Source organism: Homo sapiens, chromosome 12, assembly GCF_000001405.40.
Source record: "Homo sapiens chromosome 12, GRCh38.p14 Primary Assembly".
NCBI lineage: Eukaryota > Metazoa > Chordata > Mammalia > Primates > Hominidae > Homo > Homo sapiens.
The window spans coordinates 32,349,638-32,374,182 of NC_000012.12; the positions used below are offsets into that span (position 1 = coordinate 32,349,638).

A 24,545-nucleotide genomic window follows, 5' to 3' on the forward strand; every position below is an offset into this window, starting at 1 on the left:
ATGTATGCTTATAACAGCATACTATACCATATAGTATAGTTCCCAAGAAAAGGGAATGTTTCTTCCCCCCTAAAAAAAGGAAAATTCCCATTATCTAATATATAAAACAAACTTTTTTGATGATTTAAAGTGACTGTGTGTTGTGAACTGAGTAGACAAGGCAGGAAGGAGTAGTGATGTTCCTGAGTTCTTGCTGAATTCTGACAACGTGCCAACACTTTGATTTCTCTGTCAAAATGGGTGGGATTTGATATCTAAAAAAGTATACCATTACATATCTAAAAGTATATTGTTACATGGAATATGGAAGCCACTGATTTAATTCTGGAATGTCCGTCAACATGACAGCCACCTAAACTCCTCTGAGGCATTGTAAACGGTTAGGAAAATTGACCTTTCTACACACTAAATCTGGCTTCAGTGGCTCTCCTGAGCTCTAAGGGAGTTGGGCAGGGGCAGCCTGAGCTCCGGCTGTGAGCATAGCTCAACTGATGTGTAGTTAGAATGTTCATGGAAGGCCCAGGCTTGCTACTTCCCATTCCTTTATTTTAAATGATGTAGTGAGCCAGGCGTGGTGGCTCATGCCTGTAATCCCCGCACTTTGGGAGGCCGAGGTGGGTGGATCACTTGAGCCCAGGAGTTCAAGACCAGCCTGGGCAACATGGTGAAACCCTGTCTCTACAAAAAAAACAAAAATTAGCCAGGCATGATGGTGTGTGCCTGTAGTTTCAGGGGAGGCTGAGGTGGGAGAATTGCTTGAGCCCAGGAGGTGGGGGCTGCAGTGAGCTGTGATTGCACCACTGCACTCTAGCCTGGGTGACAGTGCCTACATAAATAAATAAAAAGAAAGAAAGAAATGATGTAGTGAAAATATAGTTACATAGCACTTATACCTAGACTACTTAAAGTGACCTAGTAATTAAACTTATATAGCTCATCAACCAGCAAAGATTCCTAGTGCACCACACTCGTTATAGAGCAGGGAAGCATCGCTGCCACCCTCAGGGATTCCTCTTGCATATCTCTGTGTTCTGTCCTCCACACACCCATCTCTTTAGTCATCTATTGATTTTATTCAATTTTCCTGGCAGTTTCCCCAGTGTATTTTACCTGAAAGGTATGAGAGGAAAAAGGAAAAGCACAACTCAAAATGGTTGACTATTCCATTCTTTGTTTTCTTCAAAAAGTGTAAAGTCATAAAGATGCCATAGAACCACTAAATTCATTGTCCTTTGTCACCTCTCAGCCAATAATAGTCATTGATATACTCTCCATACCACAAATTTAAAGTTTTTTGTGAACTGTACATGCAATAGCCAAGTTTATTTTAACTTTAGTCATTACTGGATCCCAGAGATTTTCTTTCTCTTTTTTGGCATATAGATTATTTATGTCACTTCAGTATGCCCAGTCCACAGATGAGATCTTCTGAGGGACTGCTTCTGGAGCCGGCCCTCTTGTGTGATTGAATTAGTCAGTGATGGTTCTCAGGACTAGATTAGATTGTTACTCTTAAAATAATTACTTAAAAAAAAAAAAAAAACTTCCATAACTTGAAAATTTTGTGGCCAGGTGTGGTGGCTCACGCCTGTAATCCCAGCACTTTGGGAAGCCGAGGTGGGCGGATCGCTTGAGGTCAGGAGTTCAAGAGCAGCCTGGCCAACATGGTGAAACCCTGTCTCTACTAAAAATACAAAAATTAGCCGGGCATGGTGGCGCACGCCTGTAATTTCAGCTACTCAGGAGGCTGAGGCAGGAGAATTCGCTTGAACCTGGGAGGTGGAGGCTGCAGTGAGCCAAGATGGTACCCACTGCACTTCAGCCTGGGCAACAGAGCAAGACTCTGTCTCAAAAAAAAAAAAAAAAAAAAAAAAGAAAGGAGAAAAAGAAAAGAAAAATTTGCATTTAAGACTTATATGAAAATACATAATTTATTTTGCAGAATGATCTAGAGCAGGACTGTCATTTTAACTAAAGTTATTTTTGGCCAGGTGTGGTGGCTTATGTCTGTAATCCCAGCACTTTGGGAGGCCGAGGCAGGTGGATCACGAGGTCAGGAGTTCAAGACCAGCCTGGTCAATATGGTAAAACCCCATCTCTACTAAAAATACAAAAATTAGCTGGGCATGGTGGTGCATTCCTGTAATCCCAGCTACTCAGGAGGCTGAGGCAGGATAATTGCTTGAACCAGGACGCGGGAGGCAGAGGTTGCAGTGAGCCAAGATGGCGCCACTGCACTCCAGCCTGGACTACAGAGCGAGACTCTGTCTCGAAAAAAAAAAAAGTTGGCCAGGCACAGTGGCTCACACCTGTAATCCCAGCACTTTGGGAGGCCAAGGCGGGTGGATCACAAGGTCAGGAGTTTGAGACCAGCCTGGCCAAGATGGTGAAACCCCATCTCTACTAAAAATACAAAAATTAGCTGGGCACAGTGGCGGGCGCCTGTAATCCCAGCTACTCAGGAGGCTGAGGCAGGACAATCACTTGAACCTGGGAGGTGGAGGTTGCAGTGAGCCGAGATCGTGCCTCTGCACTCTAGCCTGGGTGACAGAGCAAGACTCTGTCTCAAAAAAAAAAAAGTTATTCTTAGTGGATATAAAAATTGGTGTTTTTGGCCGGGCGTGGTGGCTCATGTCTGTAATCCCAGCACTTTGGGAGGCCGAGGCGGGTGGATCACGAGGTCAAGAGATGGAGACCATTCTGGCCAACATGGTGACACGCACCTGTAATCCCAGGTACTCGGGAGGCTGAGGCAGGAGAATCACTTGAATCTAGGAAGCGGAGGCTGCAGTGAGATGAGATTGCGCCACTGCACTCTGGCCTGGCGACAGAGTAAGATGCCGTCTCAAAAAAAAAAAAAAATTGGTGTTTTCTTGGTTTGTTTTGTGTTTTAGTTTAAGGAGACACATTTCCTCATCTTAAGGACTTTTTTGCTGCTCTGATGCTGGTCATCTAGTCCATTCTTTTGCTCTAAACTGAGCCTTGCCTCCCAGTTCTTCATTGCACTTCAGATTGTGTCTTACTACAAAGAGAAAATTAGTCTGTGATCAGTTTGGATCAGAAGAACTGAAAATGTACATTTAGAATAGAAGCCAGGGATGTGATGCACACCCGTGATCCCAGCTACTCAGGAGGCTGAGATGGGAGGATCACTTGAGCCTGGGAGTTAGAGGCTGCAGTGAGCCGAGATCGTGCCACTGCATTCCGGCCTGGGTGACAGAACAAGACCCTGTCTCTAAAAAATAAAAAGAAGAAAAGAAAGAAATTTAAAGTAGGAAGGGCTACCGTTTGCTTCTGGCCAAGCTTCACCTCTAACCATAGGATCTTTTAAAAGACTAGTTCTGAGGTCCTTTACTCTGAGTAGGTATTTATGGAATAAGCCATTATGTATTGACATTAGAATCAGTTAAACATAAATTTTTTTCTCTTTTTATGCACTACTTGACATCAAAAGCAAAAAGAGGTAAGTTGGCTATAAACCTGTAGGTGAACCTAATTTTTCTTAGTAGATTTGTTCCTGAGTAGCTTTGCTTCAATTAAATTTCTGTGAATCAAATACTTTTACATTAGGAAGATTGTCATTGGAAATTCTTATTCTTTTCTTTGAAAATGAATAAGCATCTTCTGTAAACTTAGATTTTCAAGATATCTAGTATTTAAACATTTTGCTTTTCCTTTAATCAAGTTATACTTACGGTTTAATTTGCTTGTGAAGACAAGGCATTTTCAAACACTTGGTTTAGTTTTGAGATAACTGAATTGTTTCTCCCACCAGAAATGTGGATTACATGTTATAAGTCTTTCCTATTTTCTTAAAAATGAAAAAAAAAGCCAAGAAACAACTGACATTGGTGAAAGTCTGTAATTTTCAGATCCATTGATTTACAGAAGAAGATGCCCTGAACCTCTCAGAATATTTTCTAGTGTGATTTTTTTTAATGATTAAAAAAAATGAAGAAAATATTAAACAAGAAGATCAAACACATTTCATTGAGTGGTGTCTCATATGTTTTTCTTGTTTGGGATCTATTTTTATAATTGATCTTTTTAGTGGATTCTTGATTGTAGTTTAACTTATTTCTCTTTTGTTTCTTTTTGATGATGCATCAATTCTGACATTTCAAAGGTACAGCTGGTCTTCATTAGATATGTGCTGTTATTGACTTTGCTTAACAAGAACAGACCATCATCGTACCACCTTGAGTTAACTCTGTGCCAGCTGGCCTTGCTCTTGAGAAGGTCATTTCTAAACAGAAGGTTATTTTTTGAAAGATTTTTAACTGGTGTAAGAATCTGGCAGCAGAATGTACTTTTACCTCTTGGTGCCACTGTATTTAATTACCCTCTCCCCATTTATCCTCCATGTCTTTCCTACCATAAGCTATTGATAACACACATGCTCATGGTTTAATTGTAAGTTGTTCAGAAATAGAAAGCTGACTGTACTGCAGGGCGTTTTTATATTTCTCTTTTGCAAGATTTGAAATAAAAATAGATTTTTGCATGAATATTACTTTGTTTTATCAGCTAGTCATCTGATATTCATCAGGACAGCAAATGGGAAGATGGGTGAAAGGTTTTGTCAAATCTATAACCACTGAAAAATCTAAAAATGCTCCCTCTCTACTTAGCAAGGCATGCTCTCATTCTACATCGCTGAAGACGACTTTCATGCTTGTCACTGAAGTGTGATGAACTATATGCAGTTGTCATTTATGTGAAGGAGGAACCAGATGCTTTTTAAGATTTGTCACCAGGTCTTATTTTTGCATTGTCTATATTGAAATTTTTTGATGTGTTTCAACAATTCCTTCTTTTTGTTCTCTGGAAATTTTTAACGAAGAATGATTGTTTCTATCAAGAGTATACGCTATAATGGACTTTGCTGTGTTAAAGACTGATGTAAATATGTCTGAAGTGTTTGGTGATATAAATTAGCAGATTTCACCCGATAAGTCAGAAATTACACTATCATCTGTGGGTACTTTTAGAATAACTGATGTTTTAACAGGGGATGTAATACGTTTGGTGAAAAGGGATGAGATAGCCAACTCTATGTGTTTGATTATAAAATGCTGACAGTGCTTCACAGCTCTCCATTTTTATTCATATCAGTGTACCATTAAATTCATCATTAGATTTTTGAAAATAGTTATTTTCCTAGCTACTGTTAATATTTATGTAAATGTTTCTATCTCATGCTCTTCTTTTATATATAATATTTCTTTCTCAGTTTTTCCTTATTATTTCTAAATTCTCTACTCTATATGTGTGTTTTTCAGTTTATTTGTTTAGGAATTCATAGGACTGTTTAAATGTTCAAGTTGTTACTACAAGGAGAATGTATTTTGATGCTTCTTTCCATTAACCTTTCTGTTAATTCACTAACATTATTAATCATTTTGTAGATTTAGTGAGGAATAATTTACTGGTTATGTTATTTGGCACATCTTAAATGATGGCAATTTAAAAATTATTTTCAAGACTTATATATTAAAGTCCTACAGTTACCAAAGAAGAATAATTGATCATCTGATAACACTAAATTAACCTTAAAATCTTTATCAGATAATATTTATCCATTCTTATTCCTTTTGTTAGAAAGATGTTGTTACAATGACAGGGATGTCTAAATTGTAAACTCTCCTTTCAAGTGAATTAATTAAACAGTGACATTGATGATACTAATAAATAAATCCAAGGATTTTTTTTAAGGGAGGTGGTTTGCACCACATAAATTCCCTAGCAAAGTGTTGTGGGGAATTGAAGAATTATAAGGCAGGGTCCTGCCTGCTCTCAAGGAGCTGCATAGTGTGGCTAGAGAGAATAGATATACTGCAAGGGAAGCAGGGGTCTAGAATTCTGTAAGAAATGCCAAAGGAAGCTGGGCGCAGTGGCTCACACCTGTAATCTCAGCACTTTGGGAGGCTGAGGCAGGCGGATTGCTTGAGGTCAGGAGTATGAGACTAGCCTGGGCAACACGGTGAAACTCTGTCTCTACTAAAAATACAAAAATTAGCTGGGCGTGGTAGCATGCACGTGTAATCCCAGCTACTCGGGAGGCTGAGGCATAAGAATCACTTGAACCTGGGAGGTGAAGATTGCAGTGAGCCGAGATGGAGATCACGCCACTGCACTCCAGCCTGGGTGACGGAGCAAGACTCTGTCTCAAAAAAAAAAAAGAAATGCCGAAGGAGATGAGAGAAGTGCTAAAGGAGTTTGCAGGAAGCAGACACCTCCTTTTGGGATGGCCAGAAATAATGACTGAAATTTGACTTTGCATAGTCTGATAGACAAGAGCATTTCCGATGAATATAATGATAGCTTGTTGAAATGAATTTCTCCTATGATCCATTTTGACCTTTCTTATTTCCTTGTTGTTAATAGCATTTACTTTGTTTCTCGAAGCTGAAAACCTTAAGGGCCTTCGACTCCTCCCTTTCCTTTGTCCATCATGTCTAATTGATGGACTCAGAGCTGCATGCTTTCACAAACATTCTCTCACCTGATCTTCACGTGAACCCTGCAAGATTGGTATTTAATGTTCTCACTTAAACGGATAGAAAAACTGAGGCTAAGAACAGTTAAGTCACTTCTTCAGTGTCCCTAGCTACTGGTTGTTGGAACTGGTATCTAAAAGAGAGACAGAGATCTTTCTGATGGACTCTAAATTTCATGCTGAAATGGAGAAGAGCTGAAGAGCACAGAGGAGAGAGAATAGAGAATAAAGAGGGCCAGGCGCGGTGGCTCATGCCTGTAATCCCAGCGCTTTGGGAGGCTGAGGCGAGCGGATCGTTTGAGTGCAGGAGTTCAAGAGCAGCCTTGGCAACATGGCAAAACCCTGTCTCTACAAAAGTTTTAAAAAATTAGCTGGGCGTAGTGGCACTGGGGAGGCTGAGGTGGGAGGATCGCCTGAACCCGGGAAGCAGAGGTTGCAATGAGCCGAGAGCACACTACTGCACTCCAGCCTGGGTGACAGAGTGAGACTCCATCTCAAAAAAAAAAGAAAGAAGAAAGCTGAGATGCCATAGGAAATGGCTGCAGAAGCATCATTGGCAAATGCAAGGAAATTATTGTGATGTACCCTCACTTAAGACTCCAGTGCATCTAAGTGTGTTAGTAACTGATTATGGAGAGCACCTTTGTGCTATTATCAGAATTCCTGGGTGTGGGAAACTTCTATAACTGTGCAACTTTTCTATCTCCACGTCAGTGCACAGTATATGGACATTTATATTTTCTACTAACACAACTGACATTCCACTCCCGTCAGTTTAGTTTCCCCCAGTACCACTGTTTTGACCACTTTCACACTTCTGTCTATAGTGCTTTTGCTAAGAAGGAATCTGCTAAATTCGAATGCAGATTCTCCTGCTTTTTTTTTTTTTTTTTTGATGGAGTTTCGCTCTTGTTGCCCAAGCTGGAGTGTGATGGCGCGATCTCGGCTCATTGCAACCTCCACCCCCCGGGTTCAAGCAATTCTTCTGCCTCAGCCTCCTGAGTAGCTGGGATTACAGGCGCACGCCACCACGCCCGGATAATTTTTTGTATTTTTAGTAGAAATGGGGTTTCACCATGTTGGCCAGGCTGGTCTCGAACTCCTGACCTCAGGTGGTCCACCCACCTTGGCCTCCTAAAGTGCTGGGATTACAGGCATGAGCAACCACACCCAGCCCCAGATTATCCTTCTTAATTTGTGCTTCTTGCCTTTCGTATATATCTTTTTCATTTTGAGTTTCCTTGAATTAAAACTTTTTAATTCAACTCTTGGATTGCTTAATTTTGAATAATTTGAGAGAATTTGGGCTGTTCTTGGTTTATTTAGACTGAAGAAGTACTCTCGGCAGAGTAAGAAGGAGCACTAACTGCTTCTACTTTGGAGCAAGTATCAAAGGCTGTGTTAGTCTGCTGGGGCTTCCATCATGAATGACCACAGACTGGATGCCTTAAACAACAGAAGTTAATTTTCTCACAGTTCTGGAGGCCCGAAGTTCAAAATCAAGGTGTCCGCAGGTCTGTTTTCTCCTGAGGTCTCCGTCCTTGGATTGCAGAAGGCCACCTTCTCACTGTCCTCGCATCTCTGTGCACTGCATCCCTGGTGTCTCTCTGCATGTATTAATCCTCTCTTCTTTACAAGGACACCAATCAGATTGGATTAGGGCCAACTCTAACAGTGTCACTTTAATTTAGTCACCTCTTGTAAAGGTCCTGTCTTCAAATACAGTTGCATTCTAAGGTTCTGAGAGTTAGGGCTTCAATATATGAATTTAGGGGAACACAATTCAGTCTATAACATCATGGGCCATTCCACTGAAAGGGCGTGGGTGGACAGTCAGAAACCTGGGCACAAGTTCTCACTCTGCCACTCTCTCCATGGGCCCTAAGAAAATCACTTAACCCTTCTGATCCTCAGTGTTCTAATCTGTAAAATGGGCATTATGACTACCAATCTCAGTTGAGTTTGGTTTGTTTGTTTGTTTTTGAGACAGAGTCTCGCTCTGTTGCTCAGGCTGGAGTGCAGTGGTGTGATCTCAGCTCACTGCAACCTCCACCTCCCGGGTTCAAGAGTTCTCATGGCTCAGCTTCCCAAGTAGCTGGGACTACAGGCACGCCCTACCATGCCCAGCTAATTTTTGTTATTTTAGTAGAGATGAGTTTTCACCATGTTGGCCAGGCTGGTCTTGAACTCCTGAACTGAAGCTATCTGCCAGCCTCAGTTTCCCAAAGTGCTGGGATTACAGGCATGAGCCACTGCGCCTGGACTCACTTGAGTTTTCTAGGCACTAAAAAGCTTTTGTTCATTATAAAAGCCATACAGAGGCCAGGCACAGTGGCTCACGCCTGTAATCCCAGCACTTTGGGAGGCTGAGGCAGGCGGATCACGAGGTCAAGAGATGGAGACCATCCTGGCCAACATGGCGAAACCCCGTCTCTACTAAAAATACAAAAGTTAACTGGGCGTGGTGGTGCATGCCTGTAGTCCCAGCTACTTAGGAGGCTGAGGCAGGAGAATCACTTGAACCCGGGAGGCGGAGGTTGCAGTGAGCCGAGATTGCACCACTGCACTCCAGCCTGGCGACAGAGTGAGACTCCACCTCAGAAAAAAAAGTAATACAGAAAGTGACCTTGCATAAACTTAGTTTCTCATTTCTAAACAAAAATAAAATGTATCTCATAGAGTTTTTACAAGGATTCAAGAGCTTTTGCATGCAAATTGTCTGCAAATATATATATATAGCACTTTTTATAAGCATTACATATTACCATTATTTCTCATCCTTCTTTCTTCTACATTTCTTCTGCCCGCTCTTCCTTTTCTGTCATTGCCTAAAATCCCTATTAATGAATAGTTTGAAAGAACATGGCCAGGTTTGCAGAAAGAAGAAAGAGAGATATCCTTTTCCCTCCCATAAGGACTAAAAGAGGATGTCTCTGTGCTTTGATCATTAACCATGGCGTGTTGATTTTAGGACAATCTATAACTCTCTGTCAATTTCCTACTTAACAGCTTTCAAAATTAAATGTTCTTGCTTTTCTACTAACTGTTAATCATCTGTTCTTATTGAAAGGTCTTTAATGAATATTGACTGTTTACTCCAAGTTTATAAGATTTTTGGTCTAAAGTGGTTGTCTTAGTCCATTTTCTGTTCCTTATAACAGAATACTTGAAACTGGGTGATTTATAAAGAAAAGGAATTTGTCATTTGCAGTTATGGAGGCTGAGAAGTCCAAGGTCACGGTGAGAGCCTTCTTGCTGGTGGGGACTCTGCAGAGTCCCAAAGTGGTGCAGGGCATCACATGGCAAGGGGGCTGTACATGCTAAGTCAGGTCTGTCTTCCTCTTATAGAGCCACCAATTTCACTCCCATCATAACCCATGAATCCATTAACCCATGAATCCATTAATCCATGAATGGATTTATCCATTCATGAGAGCAGACCTTTATGATCCAATCACCTCTTAAAAAGTTCCACCTTTCAATACTGCCACATTGGAGATTAAGTATCAACATGAATTTTGGAGGGGATATTCAAACCATAGCAGTGGTATCTATTTAAATCTATTTACTTTCAAATAGATAATAGCAGCATGTTCTATGATAGCAATTGTTCAAAGAAATTTATTAAACCTTTTTTATAGACAGTCTTGGGAAGAATACAGCAAGTTAGCAAAGATAATAACTAAGAGTCTCATCAAGAGGCGTGTGTGTTCCTTATATCATCAACTTCCATTTCTCCTGCCTATTTTTAAGGATATGAGTATGTGGGCTGGGCGCAATGGCTCACACCTGTAATCCCAGCACTTTGGGAGGCCGAGGCAGGCAGATCACGAGGTCAGGGGATCGAGACCATCCTGGCTAACACGGTGAAACCCCGTCTCTACTAAAAATACAAAAAATTAGCCAGGCGTGGTGGTGGGTGCCTGTAGTCCCAGCTACTCGGGAGGCTGAGGCAGGAGAATGGTGTGAACCCAGGAGGGGGAGCTTGCCGAGATCACACCACTGCACTCCAGCCTGTGCGACAGAGTGAGACTCCATCTCAAAAAAAAAAAAGAATATATGAGTTGCCCATTTTCAAAACAGGAAAGGAAAAGAAGAAAGCACACGTCCCTTTTTTTCTCACTTGTTGAAGGAAAGAGACTGAAAAATCATGAACTTATGAAAGATAGAGGAAGAGGTGCCTAAGGAGAAAGAGAATATTTAAGTAAGAGGATTAATACCTATATATGTCAGAAGAAGAAATGTAGAAATATAGTTTTTACACGGTGGAAAAGAAAAGTTTCTCTAAACTGTAGACCAACAAACTTTGCCTCATCCTCGGCAAATTTCTGGAAATGGATGAATTACAAATGCTCTCTATAGAATGGGGATTGTTAAAAGCCAGTGTGAGTTCATCAAGAATGACTTGAACTGGACTACCCACATTCTCTATCTCATAAGACCAGGGAAATGGTAAAATAATGTGTCTGAACTTGGGCAAGCAATTAACCAGGCATTTTTTTTTAATATTCTTGAGACAAATAGAGAAATCAATTCTAGAGGATAATATAATTGTGTAGACTCATAACTAATTGAATGATATGTGCAAAGGGTCCAAATTCATTGACTTATATTTATGAAATATGGTCTTCACTTAGCCTGACCTTATTATTAATTGCTAATCTTACATAAAGCTATCGAGGTCATGATTCTCATATTTTCTGATTTAAGAGAGAAATAAATGCTAAATGACGGAATAGGATCCAAAATATTCATCAGATAGGAAGAGGCGAAATATTTCACATGTATTTTAAACATAAAGTTTAAATGGATATGAAATATTGTGCTGGAATTCCAAGCACTGTAAGATGGAGGAAAAATGACTTTATAGCACTACCTGTAAACAAAGCTCAATGGAAATAGCAGTGTGATGTGGCTGCCCAAAAATGCCATGAGGTTTCTGCTGTTTTAATAGGACTGGGATGTCTCAGATAAGACAAGACAGTGCCACTGTACTCTTCACTGGGCATATCTTACCACACATGATTTCCTTTCTTATCACCTCATTTTTAGAAGGATGTGCACAAACCGGAACAAGGTCAGAGAGCAAGGAGACGAGTGAGGGAAATTGACATCACGTCTTAAAAGGAAGAAATGGGGTTGGGCCTGATGGCTCACACCTATAATTCCAGCACTTTCAGAGGCCGGGGCGGGTAGATCATTTGAGGCCAGGAGTTCGAGACCAGCCTGGCCATGGTGAAACCCCATCTCCACCAAACATACAAAAATTAGCCAGGCATGGCAGCACATGCCTGTAATCCCAGCTACTCTGGAGGCTGTAACACAAGAGTCACTTAAACCTGGGAAGTGGAGTTTGCAATGAGCCAAGATCACGTCACTTCACTCCAGCCTGGGCAACAGAGCGAGACTCCATCTCAAAAAAAAAAAAAAAAGAAAGAAAGATAAGAAAAAAAGGAAGAACTTGGATACTTGGCCTGAGGAGAACTCAGAGGACAGAGATAGTTTTCATGGGAACACGTGGAGCATCCGGAGGTTGTTTATGGTCATGAGGGAAAGAGATGTGGTGTGGAAAATACGATCTTGTGAAAAAGTAGGGATGCATTAGTTCTCAAGTCAGGAAAATGAGGAGGTGGAGTCAAGCGATGCTACAGGAGACTGTTTGCCACAAAGAGTTGCTGCTGTGCCTGCCCCAGAGCACTTGGGCCCAAAGAAGCCACCTCTGCAGCCTCACTACTCATCGTGGCTGGGTTTGGTCTCCACAGATGGGCTTTCACTCACATGGTGCTCACCAGTGCCCACTGCTGCCATCTGGGCCAGGTGTGGAGCCAAAACATAGAAGTGTTCCTTGTCTCCTACATGAGCTGTTCCTTCCCATCCCAAACAGCCACCAGTGGGCTCCTGGACTCCCTAAGGCATTGACTTTTAGAAAATTGGGTAGTTTGGCTGGGCGCAGTGGCTCACGCCTATAATCCCAGCACTTTGGGAGGCCGAGGCAGGCAGATCACCTGAGGTCAGGAGTTTGAGACCAGCCTGGCCAACATGGCGATACCCCATCTCTACTAAAATTATAAAAATTGGCCGGGCATGGTGGTGCATGCCTGTAATCCCAGCTACTTGGGAGGCTGAGGCAGGAGAATTGCTTGAACCCGCGAGGCGGAGGTTGCAGTGAGCTGAGATCATGCCATTGCACTCCAGCCTGGGCAACAAGAGCGAAACTCTGTCTCAAAGAAAAAAAAAGAAAATTGGTTAGTTTTCTAAATTGCATTGAAAATTTTATAAATAATAGAAGCCCGAGAGAAAGCCACACAGCAAAACTTTCTCTCTCTGCCAATGAAATGTATTATTTTCAGCCACCTCTTTTTAAAAACAATATTATCTTCATTCCTGTACCCTTCATTTTGCTTTGTATTTTTGAGAGCGCTGGTTGCCTTAAAATCAGTATCTCAAATCTCTGGCAAAGTTCCTTCTGTTTCTTTGACTCTATGACCCTGATATTTTCTAGAGGTAGCTGGTGTCAATTTGAGAAGCATCCAGAGGAGTGAATAGAAAAGAGGCCTTAGCATTAAAAAGACTAAATTTAAATCCTTGTTCCGCCACTTCCTAACTGTGTGACCTTGGGCAAGTTAATACACATGCTGAGCTTGGATTAATCAGTGGAGGCTTGTAGGACACCTACTGTGATGGCAAATTCTGTGTTTGTTTCTAGCAGGAGAGATTTTAAAAAGAAGTTAAAGAAAAAAATATGTGAGACTATGATATTCTCCCATATTATCAAAAACACTTATTTTCCTCAATGTAGGAATAGTGCAAGCCTGTCGACCCAGCTATTTTAGAGGCTGAAGTGGGAGCATCACATGAGCCCAGGAGTTCAAGACCAGGCTTTAAGAGACCCTGTCTCTTAAAACAGATAACAAATGTAAAGTTTATAGGAAAGATTACATCATGTTGATTCAGCAAATATTTTCCTCTCTTATTTCTCCCTTTCTTTTCTATCTTCCCTTCTACGTGAGGCCCTTGTTTATGGAGGAATGTCATACAAGGGTACTCTTCTTGTGCATATCGAGACAGACCTATAGATGCTTTGAGCTATAATATTCCATATTCATCCCTGCCCTGGAGGCATTAGTAATCTCTTGAGCCAGGCACAGTGTACACACTTGTAGTCCCATCTACTCAGGAGATTGAGGCAGGAGGATTACTTGAACTCACTGCATTACAGCCTGAGCGACATAGCAAGACCTGGCCTCTAAAAAAAATACATAAATAATCTCTTGAGTATGCTATGACATTTCCCAAGCCTGTGGCCTTATCATATAAACGTACAGCATTTTCTAATTCCATTCTGATCATTTCAAATAAACACTTTAATTTTATGATAAAATGTCTTATTACTGTTACTAAAGACCATAAAAAGTTTGTAGTTACAAAGAAGTTATTTGACTAACTCATTATGTTAGATGTCAGCCTAGATATCACAACCTCCAGGAAGCACTCCCTAACCACTTAGATTTAGTTGTGTTTGGTTAGTTAGATTTAGTTATGTTTGATTAGTTAGATTCAGTCTAATTTAATTTAATTAACTTCCGCTGTGAGGTCCTGTAACACCCTACACTTTCCCTATCATAGGAGGCAATACAGTGATACTTCTGCAAGTTCAGCTCAGCCCTTGGACCATACAATCCTGGATTCAAATTGCACCTCTACCTCCTAGTGGAGTTTGTCAAGTTACTTAACCTAAGTTCCCCTTTCCTTATAGATGAAGTGAGATTAATAAAACAGGGTTATAGAAGAGCATGTATATTAAGTGCCTATACAGTGCCTGAGACATCGTAAACAATAAATAAGTACTAGATGCTGTCATCATCACCATCACCATCACCATCACCACCATCATCACCATCACCATCACACTTCAATGTAGTTGCTTATTAAATATGCTTATCTTCCTTGATAAAACAGAGACCACATTTTCTCTGTTCACCTTTTTCCCCCTGCTGCCTAACACAGTTTCTGACACAAAATAGGAGTTTAGTAACTTGACTGTTGAATGGTTTAGACAAACCCTGGTGGCCAAACAACAGCAATGGCTTTGTGGGTTCTACAATGCCTGCTCCTTCATGCACATAGTTGTCATCTTTTATTCCCCCCAAAGCAACGAGATGTGGTCTAGTTCCTTCAAGGGTGAGCCTAGCAGAATAGATCCTAGACGGAGCAGGGGAGATCACTCAGAGCCTGCAGCATCTCAGAGCTACAAGGGACTTCCTCAGCCTCCCAACCTACCTCCTTCATTTTACAAAGTACATCCTAAGACACATCCGTGGCTCAGCCAGGCTACAATTGACACAACTGGAGGGCTGTAGACCCGAGAAGAGGGATTTAGAAGACAACTGAGTCAGAGCAATGTAGCTACATTTTAGTTTAATTTTTTAAGTCCATCACCATTTTATCTATGAAATTTGTTTTTTATTCTTTAAGGATAACACGTAGCTAAGTGCTTATAAATAATAAATGAAAAATAATCATCATTAGCTTGGCTAGGAGCAGTGGCTCACACCTACAATCCCCACATCTTGGGAGGCCGAGGCAGGAAGACTGCTTGAGGCCCGGAGTTCAAGACCAGCCTAGGCAAAATAGCTAGAACCTGTCTCTACAAAAATTTAAAAAATTAGCAGGGTGTGGTGGTGTGTGCCTGTGGTCCCAGCTACTCAAGAGGCTGAGGCAGGAGGATCACTTGAGCCCAGGCGTTGGATGCTGAAGTGAGCTATGATAGCCACCTAGGCAACAGCATGACATCCTGTCTCAAAAACTAAATAAATAGGCCGAGTGCAGTGGCTCACACCTGTAATCCCAGCACTCTGAGAGGCCAAGGTGGGTGGATCACCCGAAGTCAGGAGTTAGAGACCAGCCTGGTTAACACGGTGAAACCCCGTCTCTACTAAAAATACAAACAATTAGCTGGGCGTGGTGGCGCACGCTTGTAATCCCAACTACTCGGGAGGCTGAGGCAGGAGAATTGCATGAACCCAGGAGGCGGAGATTGCAGTGAGCCGAGATTGTGCCATTGCACTCCAGCCTGGGCAACAAGAGCAAAACTCTTGTCTCAAAAATAAAATAAAATAAAAAATAAATATTAGCCAGAGATGATGTTACTTCTAATGAAGGAAAAAGTGATATTCACTACAAATAAGAAGAATGTCTACCACCTCTCTAGCATTTCATTAAGGGAGTACACTGTGGTTCTGATCACCTGCTGTCTGAATTTTACCATAAATTATATTTTGAATGAATAATAATCTGTGACTGTATTGGCAAAACAAAGTCAAATATATGAGATATTTTTAAAAGATGTAAGCCATTTTAATACTCTAGTTACTCTAATTCTAAGGATCGCTATTCCACAGAGGCCACTACTCTGCTTTAGAAGAGTTTCATTATACCTCCCTGGCAATGTAAGACATAAGGAATCCAGAGTGGTTTTTACATCCATTGCATTTACCCAAATACACCATCGGAGGGCAGCACACACCTGGTTGACTTAACTGCCTGTCTGGTGGCCTTATCAAAATAGTTGTCAAATTAGTCTAAGACATTCCTAAATTACCACTCAGATAGGCAGGAAAGCTGTTGGAGAAGACAAAAGGAGCAAAGATTTTTAAAAGACAAAAGAATGCATTCCTTAAGACTCTGAGTTTCTACAAAAGGGAATCTGGAGCTAATCAATGCTGCAAAATGGGAAAACGGAGTTAAAAAAGGAATTTCCTCAATCTGAGAAAACAGATTTGTTATATTTGAAAGATTTTTACTGAGTATGATCATCCGAACACCAGCTACTAAACAAAAATCAGATCTCCTTGTTCCTATTAAGATGCGCTAATTAATAAGATGGCAACAAAGACCACCATATAAAAGGGTTCCTTCAGTAATGTTTTCTTGAGTGAACAAAAATCAAGCCTGCCTTATATTGTATTCTACTTTGCATCACAAACAGTTTTAGTGTATTTCTGGAAAAGCATCAGCAGTTTTTTCGAATTTTAAATTCTGGAGTTATGTAACTATATAGGCAGGCTTTTTTATAACAGAATATAACAGTGATACTTAAATAGAAGACTTCAAATGTAAATATCAGTAGAGCCTCGTTAAGGCTATAAATCCAGACTTTGTGATAATGTGGATTAAATATTATTTACATAACATATAAGGAGGCCGGGTGCAGTGGCTCACGCCTGTAATCCCAGCACTTTGGGAGGCCGAGGCAGGTGGATCACCTGAGGTCAGGAGTTCAAGACCAGCCTGACCAATATGGTGAAACCCTGTCTCTACTAAAAATACAAAATTAGCCGGGTGTGGTGGCACATGCCTGTAATCCCTGCTCCTTGGGAGGCTGAGGCAGGAGAATCACCTCGGGAGGCTGAGGCAGGAGAATCGCCTGAACCCAGGAGGCGGAGGTTGCAGTGAGCTGAGATTGCACCATTGCACTCCAGCCTGGGCAACAAGAGCAAAACTCTGTCTCAAATAAACAAACAAACAAACACATATAAGGAAAGGGATTTGCTAAGCAAATACAGTCTAAGCAGTTGGCAAGAGGAAATGCTTCAATTATTTAAGAATAATTTTTAAGTTTAATTCCAATTTTAACTTGTTTGCAAAAATCTTTTTGGAGAAATATGACGTATATGCATTTCTAACCAGCTTCTTGCATGATTCTAATATAGTCACCTAGTACCAGTAAACAGACTGCTCTTTGATTTTTTTTTAGAACACCAGGCACTACTTTCTTGGAGTAGATGATTAACCCAGCTAAAGCTTGATTTTTACTAGCTAGCACTTTATTAACCTAGTGTGTTATATTGTGACTTTAAAATGGTAAAAACAATTACAAAGTGGAGTTCTCATTCAGGTTAGCTTTCTAGTCCAAGTCACTAACAATTTACTATGTAATAGACATTCTAAGATTTCTGCCAACAATTCTATTGTCAATATATAAAATCAATTTTCAGAAAACTGTAAAGATTATTTCCTTGTTTAATTAAGATTCTACTAATCATAGAAAAGATTATATTGCACACTTTTCTCAAGTTACCTATGGGACTGACAATATGTCCATGTGTCCTGATAGTAAAGTCAGTTATCTGAATGCGTTCCATTTTGGAATAAGAGATCTAAGTGCTAAGCAAGTAACCACCACCACATTCAGGTTTAGAATTGGAAGATCTTTCATTATATTAATAGACCCTTTATTTTTAGATATAACAAAATACCAAAGACAAATGGCCACATATATCCTAATGTACTTGAGAAATCTCGCTACTAATGCTGTGTCACTAATTTTTTAATACTGTATTTAAGAAAAAAAAAAAAGCCTGTCTTTTCTATTGGCATCATTCAAGAAGAAAAAAAAAAAGCTGAATCAGGATATTTCTGTGTGAATGCACATTCCTCACTAAATCTCTCAGGCAGCTGCTTTAGTCACTGTTACTAACACCTTGCTCTGTCATCTCTTTGTACACATGTCTAATTTATCAGTTTCTTGTAGATTGTCAGCAGCCTGCTGCCTCCGTACCGCCACAGTGCTCACAACTAGCCGGGAGGCAAGACTGCCCAACTGTCAGGTAAATTCAGATGTCCTTTCCCTTCCACCCAGCTGCATGTCAGATCCATAGACCCCAGCTCCCCTTTCCGACACCTGAACTGCCTACGCATCATTGTATTTTGCTGTATTTTATTTCAAGTGTGGGCTACATAGACACACATTGGACACCTGCAGTCCCTGCGTTCCCAGTAGGAATACAAGAGAGCTGGGGTTTATTTTGCTGGCTGCCAGCTGGTAGACTCTACAGGCTGCCTTCAGCCCCTTTGTCTGTGTAAATACTTGGATTAGTCCACTGTTTCATTCCTTTCCAAAAAATAAAAGCTGGAATTGTTATGATGTTTGTCCTACTTTTTATTTTCTTTTGTCTTTAAAATATATTTATTTTCCTGGGGAATCTGAGGGATACCAATATACTAATTGACCTGATTTGATTCCTGTACTTTATATGTATTAAAACATCACTATATACTCCATGAATATGTACAATTATTATTTGTCAATTTAAAAAAATAAAATCCCCGCTACTCAGGAGGCTGAGGTAGGAGGATCAATCGCTTGAGCCTGGGAGTTCAAGGCTGCAGCGAGCTATGATACCACTGCACACCTGCCTGGTGAGTAAGAACCTGTTGCTAAAAAACAAAACAAAACAAAAAACACAGTAAAATAAAACTTAAAGTGTTTAAATAGGCCAGGCATGATGGCTCACACCCGTAATCCCAGCACTGTGGAAGGCCGAGGCAGAGGGATTACCTGAGGTCAGGAGTTTGAGACCAGCCTGGGCAACATGGTGAAACCCCGTCTCTACTAAAAATACAAAAATTAGCTGGGTGTGGTGGCACATGCCTCTAATCCCACCTACTCAGGAGGCTGAGGCAGGAGAATCACTTGAACCCAGGAGGTGGAGGTTGCAGTGAGCTGAGCTGGTGCCACTGCACTCCAGCCTAGGTGACAGAGAGAGATTCCATCTAAAAAAAAATAAAAAATTAAAAAATATATATCTCAGGCCAACAAACAGGAAGAATATAAAGAATTAGATATAAAGGCTGGGTGCAGTGGCTCATGCTGGTAATCTCAGCACTTTGGGAGGCTGAGGCAGGAGGATTGCTTGAGTCCATGAATTTGTGGTTACAGTGAGTAAAATCACATCACTGCACTCCAGCCTGGGTAACAGAGCAAGACCCTGTCTCTAGATAAATAGATAGATAGACAGACAGATAGAACAGCTGTATAAAAGTGTTTCTGTGTTTCTGTTCTCTGTCCACTCAGTAGCCTTGGTAAAACTGAATTTGAAAGGTGGAGAAAAACATTGTAGTTAGCATTCAAAAGATAATATTTGCTGTGACAGTGACCTTTATGTGAGATTACTTGAAAAATTGTTAAAACAGGTTTGCACAGTCCTGAACACTGAACTGGAGAGTTTGCTGACAATTCCGATTCCAAAGGAAAGCTTTCCAAATCAGTCATGAATTGCCCTCCATCCTGGTGAACCTCCACACAGCGTCTCAGCGTTCCATCAGGACCTCACCTCCATCCTGGAATGCTTCATCTCCAGCCACCTGGCCTCTGATGGTGCCAGACCTCAGTAGTCCGGTTGTGGTTTTCATCATCTGCTCAGTGTTCTCTCCTTATCACAGCTGTTGCCCTTCTACCAGGGGAAGGCTTCTTTTGAGCAGGGGCAGGCCCAAACACTTTCCATGTGTGTCTGAGGAGTAGATGTCAGTAGCAAGCTACATGTGGTCAGGGGTCAGAGCCAGGGGACCTGGGGTGCCACAAGTGTGGAAACACAGTGGCAGCTGAAGCCCAAGTGTCACATGGTCTCAGAGGCGGTTGTGCAGCCAGCTGTATCAGTGGAACATTGAGTTAGCACAGAAAGGTACATTATTGGCCAGGTGTGGTGGCTTACGCCTGTAATCCCAGCAGTTTGGGAGGCTGAGGCGGGAGGATGGCTTGAACCCAGAACTTCAAGACCAGCCTGGGGAACACAGGGAGACCTCCACCCCCGACCTCTACCAAATTTTTTTTTTTTTAAATTAGCCAGGTATAATGGCACATGGCTGTAGTCCCAGCTATTTGGGAAGCTGAGGTTGGAGGGTCACTTGAGCTCGGGAGGTCAAGACTGCAGCAAGCTGTGATTGCATCACTGCACTCCAGCCTGGGTAACAGAGTGAGACCCTGTCTCAAAAAACAAATAAATAAATAAAAAGAAAAATACATTATAAAATAGGTTGCTAGCCAGCAGTTTCCAATTGGTGTGTGTTAGTTGATTGTTCCCACCACCTTCAGCAACAGGGCTTTAAGAAAGGTTTTTCGCTAATGCCATTTTACAACAGCACTAATTTCGGTTAGAAATAATAATGATAGGTCAGGCGTGGTGGCGCAGGCCTGTAATCCCAGCACTTTGGGAGGCCAAGGCCGGTGGATCACAAGGTCAAGAGATCGAGACCACCTTGGCCAACATGGTGAAACCCCGTCTCTACTAAAAATACAAAAATTAGCTGGGCATGGTGATGTGCGCCTGTAATCTCAGGTTCTCGGGAGGCTGAGGCAGGAGAATCACTTGAACCTGGGAGGCGGAGGTTGCAGTGAGCTGAGATCACGCCACTGCATTACAGCCTGGCGACAGAGCAAAAAAGAAAAAAAAAAAAGAAATAATGTAATTATAGATTTATCTCAATTATATAAGTAACAATATAAATATTCAAACTCGTCTCAGTGGGATTCTGAATTTGTAGCGGTTAAGAACAGGGCTCTTCACCTACAGTCCATTCTCCACCAAGCACCCCCAGCCCTTACCCCAAGGCCTGGGTCAGTGCTGGGCACATGACAGCTGTGCACTAAATATTGATTATACCTGAGAGAGTGAATGAGCTCTGGAATCAGATTGCTTGGGTTGAATTCCCACTTCTAATACCCACTGGTTGTTTAACTTTGGAAAATTTCTTTTGCTGGCTAAGATTCCATTTCTTCACTTGTAAAGTTCAGATGACAATAGATACTGAGGGAATTCAGCGAGGCACGCTCCTGGCTTGGAGTGTCTGCTCAGTATCTGTTATCAATACTTTTTTAGTATCTTACCATTCCTCAAGACAAAGATCTGCAATCTCTTAACCTCTCTAATTTGCTGAAGAAAGCGTGGAGCGGGCTGCTGTTTTGTTTGCTTCAGAGATTGGGTCTGGCTATGTTGCCCAAACTGGACTTGAACCCTGGGCTCGAGCAACCTTCCTGCCTCAGAAGACTACTGCTTGAAGTGTTTCCATTAAGTAGGAAATGGAAAGGCTGGCAGGAGATTTTTTTAACTTTTTTTTTTCCACCTTGCTTGTTTTTTGAGAACCAGTTTGACTAAACAATTATGTAGTCTAGTTCCATCTGTTCTGAGATTAATAAATTTAGGTTGCTTACTACTACCACAGGGATGATTTACTTTAAAGAAAAGCAATTTAATGAATTACAAACATTTCCAGCTTCTCAAATGTTTCCAGTTTCTACCCACATGAATACAGCCTGGTCTAGAGCCCAATTCTACTACTGTTCCCCATCGTGGTCTACGTAAAGAAATGATTAAATGCATATAGATCTGAAAAGACTCTTTTCCAAAATTGCTGGGATGATGACTGACTCTTTTCCCACCCATACACACTGCCAAATGGGTCAATGTTAATACCTTCATTGCCCTTTTTACTCCTTCTTGGCAGAAAAGTTAACACATAGCCAACATTCGAATTCTTAGTATAAACCAGACAAGGGTTCATTTCTTTACACATATTAAACATTACAGCCTTCCATAAGGGATAAGCACAGTTATTACACCCATTTTTGTTGTTGTTTTTGTTTGTTTGGTTTAGTTTTTTGGCGTTTTTTTGTTTGTTTTTGTTTTTGTTTGAGACAGAGTCTCCCTCTGTTGCCCAGGCTGGAGTGCAGTGGCGTGATCTTGGCTCACTGGCACCTCCACCTCCTGGGTTCAAGCAATTCTTCTGCCTCAGCCACCCGAGTAGCTGGGATTACAGGTGTGTGCCACCACACCCAGCTAATTTTTGTATTTTTAGTAGAGACAGGGTTTCACCATGTTGGCCAGGCTGCCCTTGAACTCCTGACCTCCAGTGATCTGCCTGCCTCAGCCTCCTAAAGTACTGGGGTTACAAGCATGAGCCACCACACCTGGTCTTACACCCATTTTTATGTGACGAAATTGAGGTTTGGGAAGGTAAAATGACTTGTTCAAGGTCACATATCCTGAACACAACTGAGCCTAGTGACTCCTACCTACCACCACAGGTGGCTGCACTGCAGAGGAGAAATCTATTTCAGTTACACTGTGAGGAGCAAAGTCAGAGTATGTAAATCACCCACCATGATTCCTTTTCCCTCAAACTGAAGAGGAATGTTTGTTTAATGAGAAACAGAAGATGTGCTAAGAATGTTGAGTTATTTCACATCAGGTGTTCTGTTTCTCATTTTGAAAAATGATTTTGAGTGCTGGGCCCAGTGGCTCATGCCTGTAATCCCAGCACTTTGGGAGGCCAAGGTGGGCAGATCACCTGAGGTCAGGAGTTCGAGACCAGCCTGGCCAATATGGTGAAACGGCATCTCTACTAAAAATACAGAAATTAGCCAGGCATGGTGGCAGGCACCTGTAATCCCAGCTCCTCAGGAGGCTGAGGCAGGAGAATCACTTGGAACAGGGAGGCGGAGGTTGCAGTGAACCAAGATCACGCTTGGACAACTCCAGCTTGGGCAACAGAGTGAGACTCCATCTTAAAAAAAAAATTATTTTGTACTTCCCTCGGTTTATACATATATTCAAACAGCTTTTAAGGTGAATGATTTTTTAATAAAAGAGCATTTTCTCACCTTTAACAATGTAGAACTTTTCAGCCGGACATGGTGACTCACCTCTGTAGTCCCAGCACTTTGGAAGGCTGAGGTGGGAAGATTGCTTGAGCCCAGGATTTCTAGATCAGCCTAGGCAACTTGGTGAAACCCTGTCCTTTAAAACAAAATACAAGAATTAGGCATGGTGGCCTGCATCTGTAGTCCCAGCTACTCAGGAGGCTGCGGTGGGAGGATCGTTTCAGCCTAGGAGTTCAAGGCAGCAGTGAGCCGAGATTGTGCCACTGCGCTCCGGCCTGGGTGGCAGAAGAGGACCCTGTCTCCAAAAACAGAAAAAAAGTAGAACTTTTCCATGTATACTTTTTACAGGCTAATTCCATTGTAGAGCTAAATTATCAAAATTGTTTATAGATAATAGGTATTATAATATGAAAGGAATGCCCAAGGTATATAGCCTTGGATATAATATTGAAATATATAGAGTTGTTTGGTATTTAGCACTTCCCTTCTATCAAGTAGTTTTCTACTTGGGAAAAAAAAAGAAACTTCCTGAAGATGTATCCAATTTTATATCTTAGTAACAGCTTCCTAAACTTGCCATTTACAACATGATCTACCTATGTAAAGTAAAATCAATGGTAAATGTTGAATAACAAGTGGACTCTTGAAAATATTTAGCAATCACAACTGAAACTGAATTCATTCTATGCCTTAAATGATTATAATTTATCAAATATTTATATCCAAGAAATAGTATCTTAACCTGTAAGCCAAGAATGTGTGTCTTACAGGTTAATTTACACATAATATACACCATGTGATTGCAGCATTTTATGCAAATTAAAAATATTAATACTATAGATAATAACTTTATGTAAGAAATCTATCTAAAGGAATGAAAAAAATTTAAATCATCACGAATGATGTAATGTCAAGGTGTTAGGCAAAGTGAGTTGTAACCCATATTTAAGCTATAGCTACACACTTCAGCTGGTCAGGAAGAAATATTTGTCTTCCTTTATCAAAAAGAGTATTGGGGCCAGGTGCAGCGGCTCACGCCTGTAATCCCAACACTTTGGGAGGCTGAGGCGGGTGGATCACAAGGTCAGGAGTTCGAGACTGTCATGGCTAACACAGTGAAACCCCGTCTCTACTAAAAAAAAAAAAATACAAAAAATTAGCCAGGTGTTGTGGCATGTGCCTGTAGTCCCAGCTACTCGGGAGGCTGAGACAGGAGAATCACTTGAACCCGGAAGGTGGAGGTGGCAGTGAGCCAAGATCGCGCCAGTGCACTCCAGGCTGGGCGACAGTTTGAGACTGTCTCAAAAAAAAAAAAAAGTATTGGATTACACAAGGTCTTCAAAAACATATCTTTCTTGGGTGGACACAGTGGCTCATGCCTGTAATCCTTGCGCTTTGGGAAGCAGAGGCAGGCTGATCACTTGAGGTCAGGAGTTCGAGACCAGCCTGGGCAACATGGTGAAACTCTGTCTCTACTAAAAATACAAAAATTAGCCAGGTGTGGTGGCGCAGGCCTGTAATCCCAGCTACTCAGGAGGCTGAGGCACTAGAATTGCTTGAACCTGGGAGGCAGAGGTTGCAGTGAGCTGGGATCGTGCCACTGCACTC

The 24,545-nt window shown here is 41.4% G+C and overlaps 1 protein-coding gene across 22 annotated transcripts in view, besides 1 other annotated feature; it reads left to right on the top strand.

The window, feature by feature from the left end:
* The window catches only part of BICD1 (BICD cargo adaptor 1), a 276,787-nt gene that overhangs the window by 242,791 nt on the left and 9,451 nt on the right, over window positions 1-24,545 (top strand). For 8 of the 22 annotated variants that reach the window (NR_148725.2, NM_001413168.1, NM_001714.4 and 5 more), the window contains one exon: window positions 18,033-18,108. The exons of 3 other annotated variants lie outside the window; for them this stretch is intronic. Coding sequence is in view for 18 of the 19 variants with exons in the window: in NM_001714.4 (NP_001705.2) it covers window positions 18,033-18,108 (76 nt within the window). In the remaining variant the exon portion in view is untranslated. Of the gene's footprint in view, window positions 1-3,454; window positions 3,464-4,631; window positions 5,693-18,022; window positions 18,426-24,545 lie in introns of those variants that run through there. 11 more of the 22 variants (NM_001413157.1, NM_001413160.1, NM_001413155.1 and 8 more) reach the window with 7 other exon arrangements.
* Window positions 8,044-8,244: a silencer, noted in NCBI's record as "peak1665 fragment used in MPRA reporter construct". NCBI's record gives its function as "represses an SCP1 promoter by STARR-seq MPRAs in K562 erythroleukemia cells {active_cell/tissue: K562}" and the evidence as "EXISTENCE:reporter gene assay evidence [ECO:0000049][PMID:32103011]".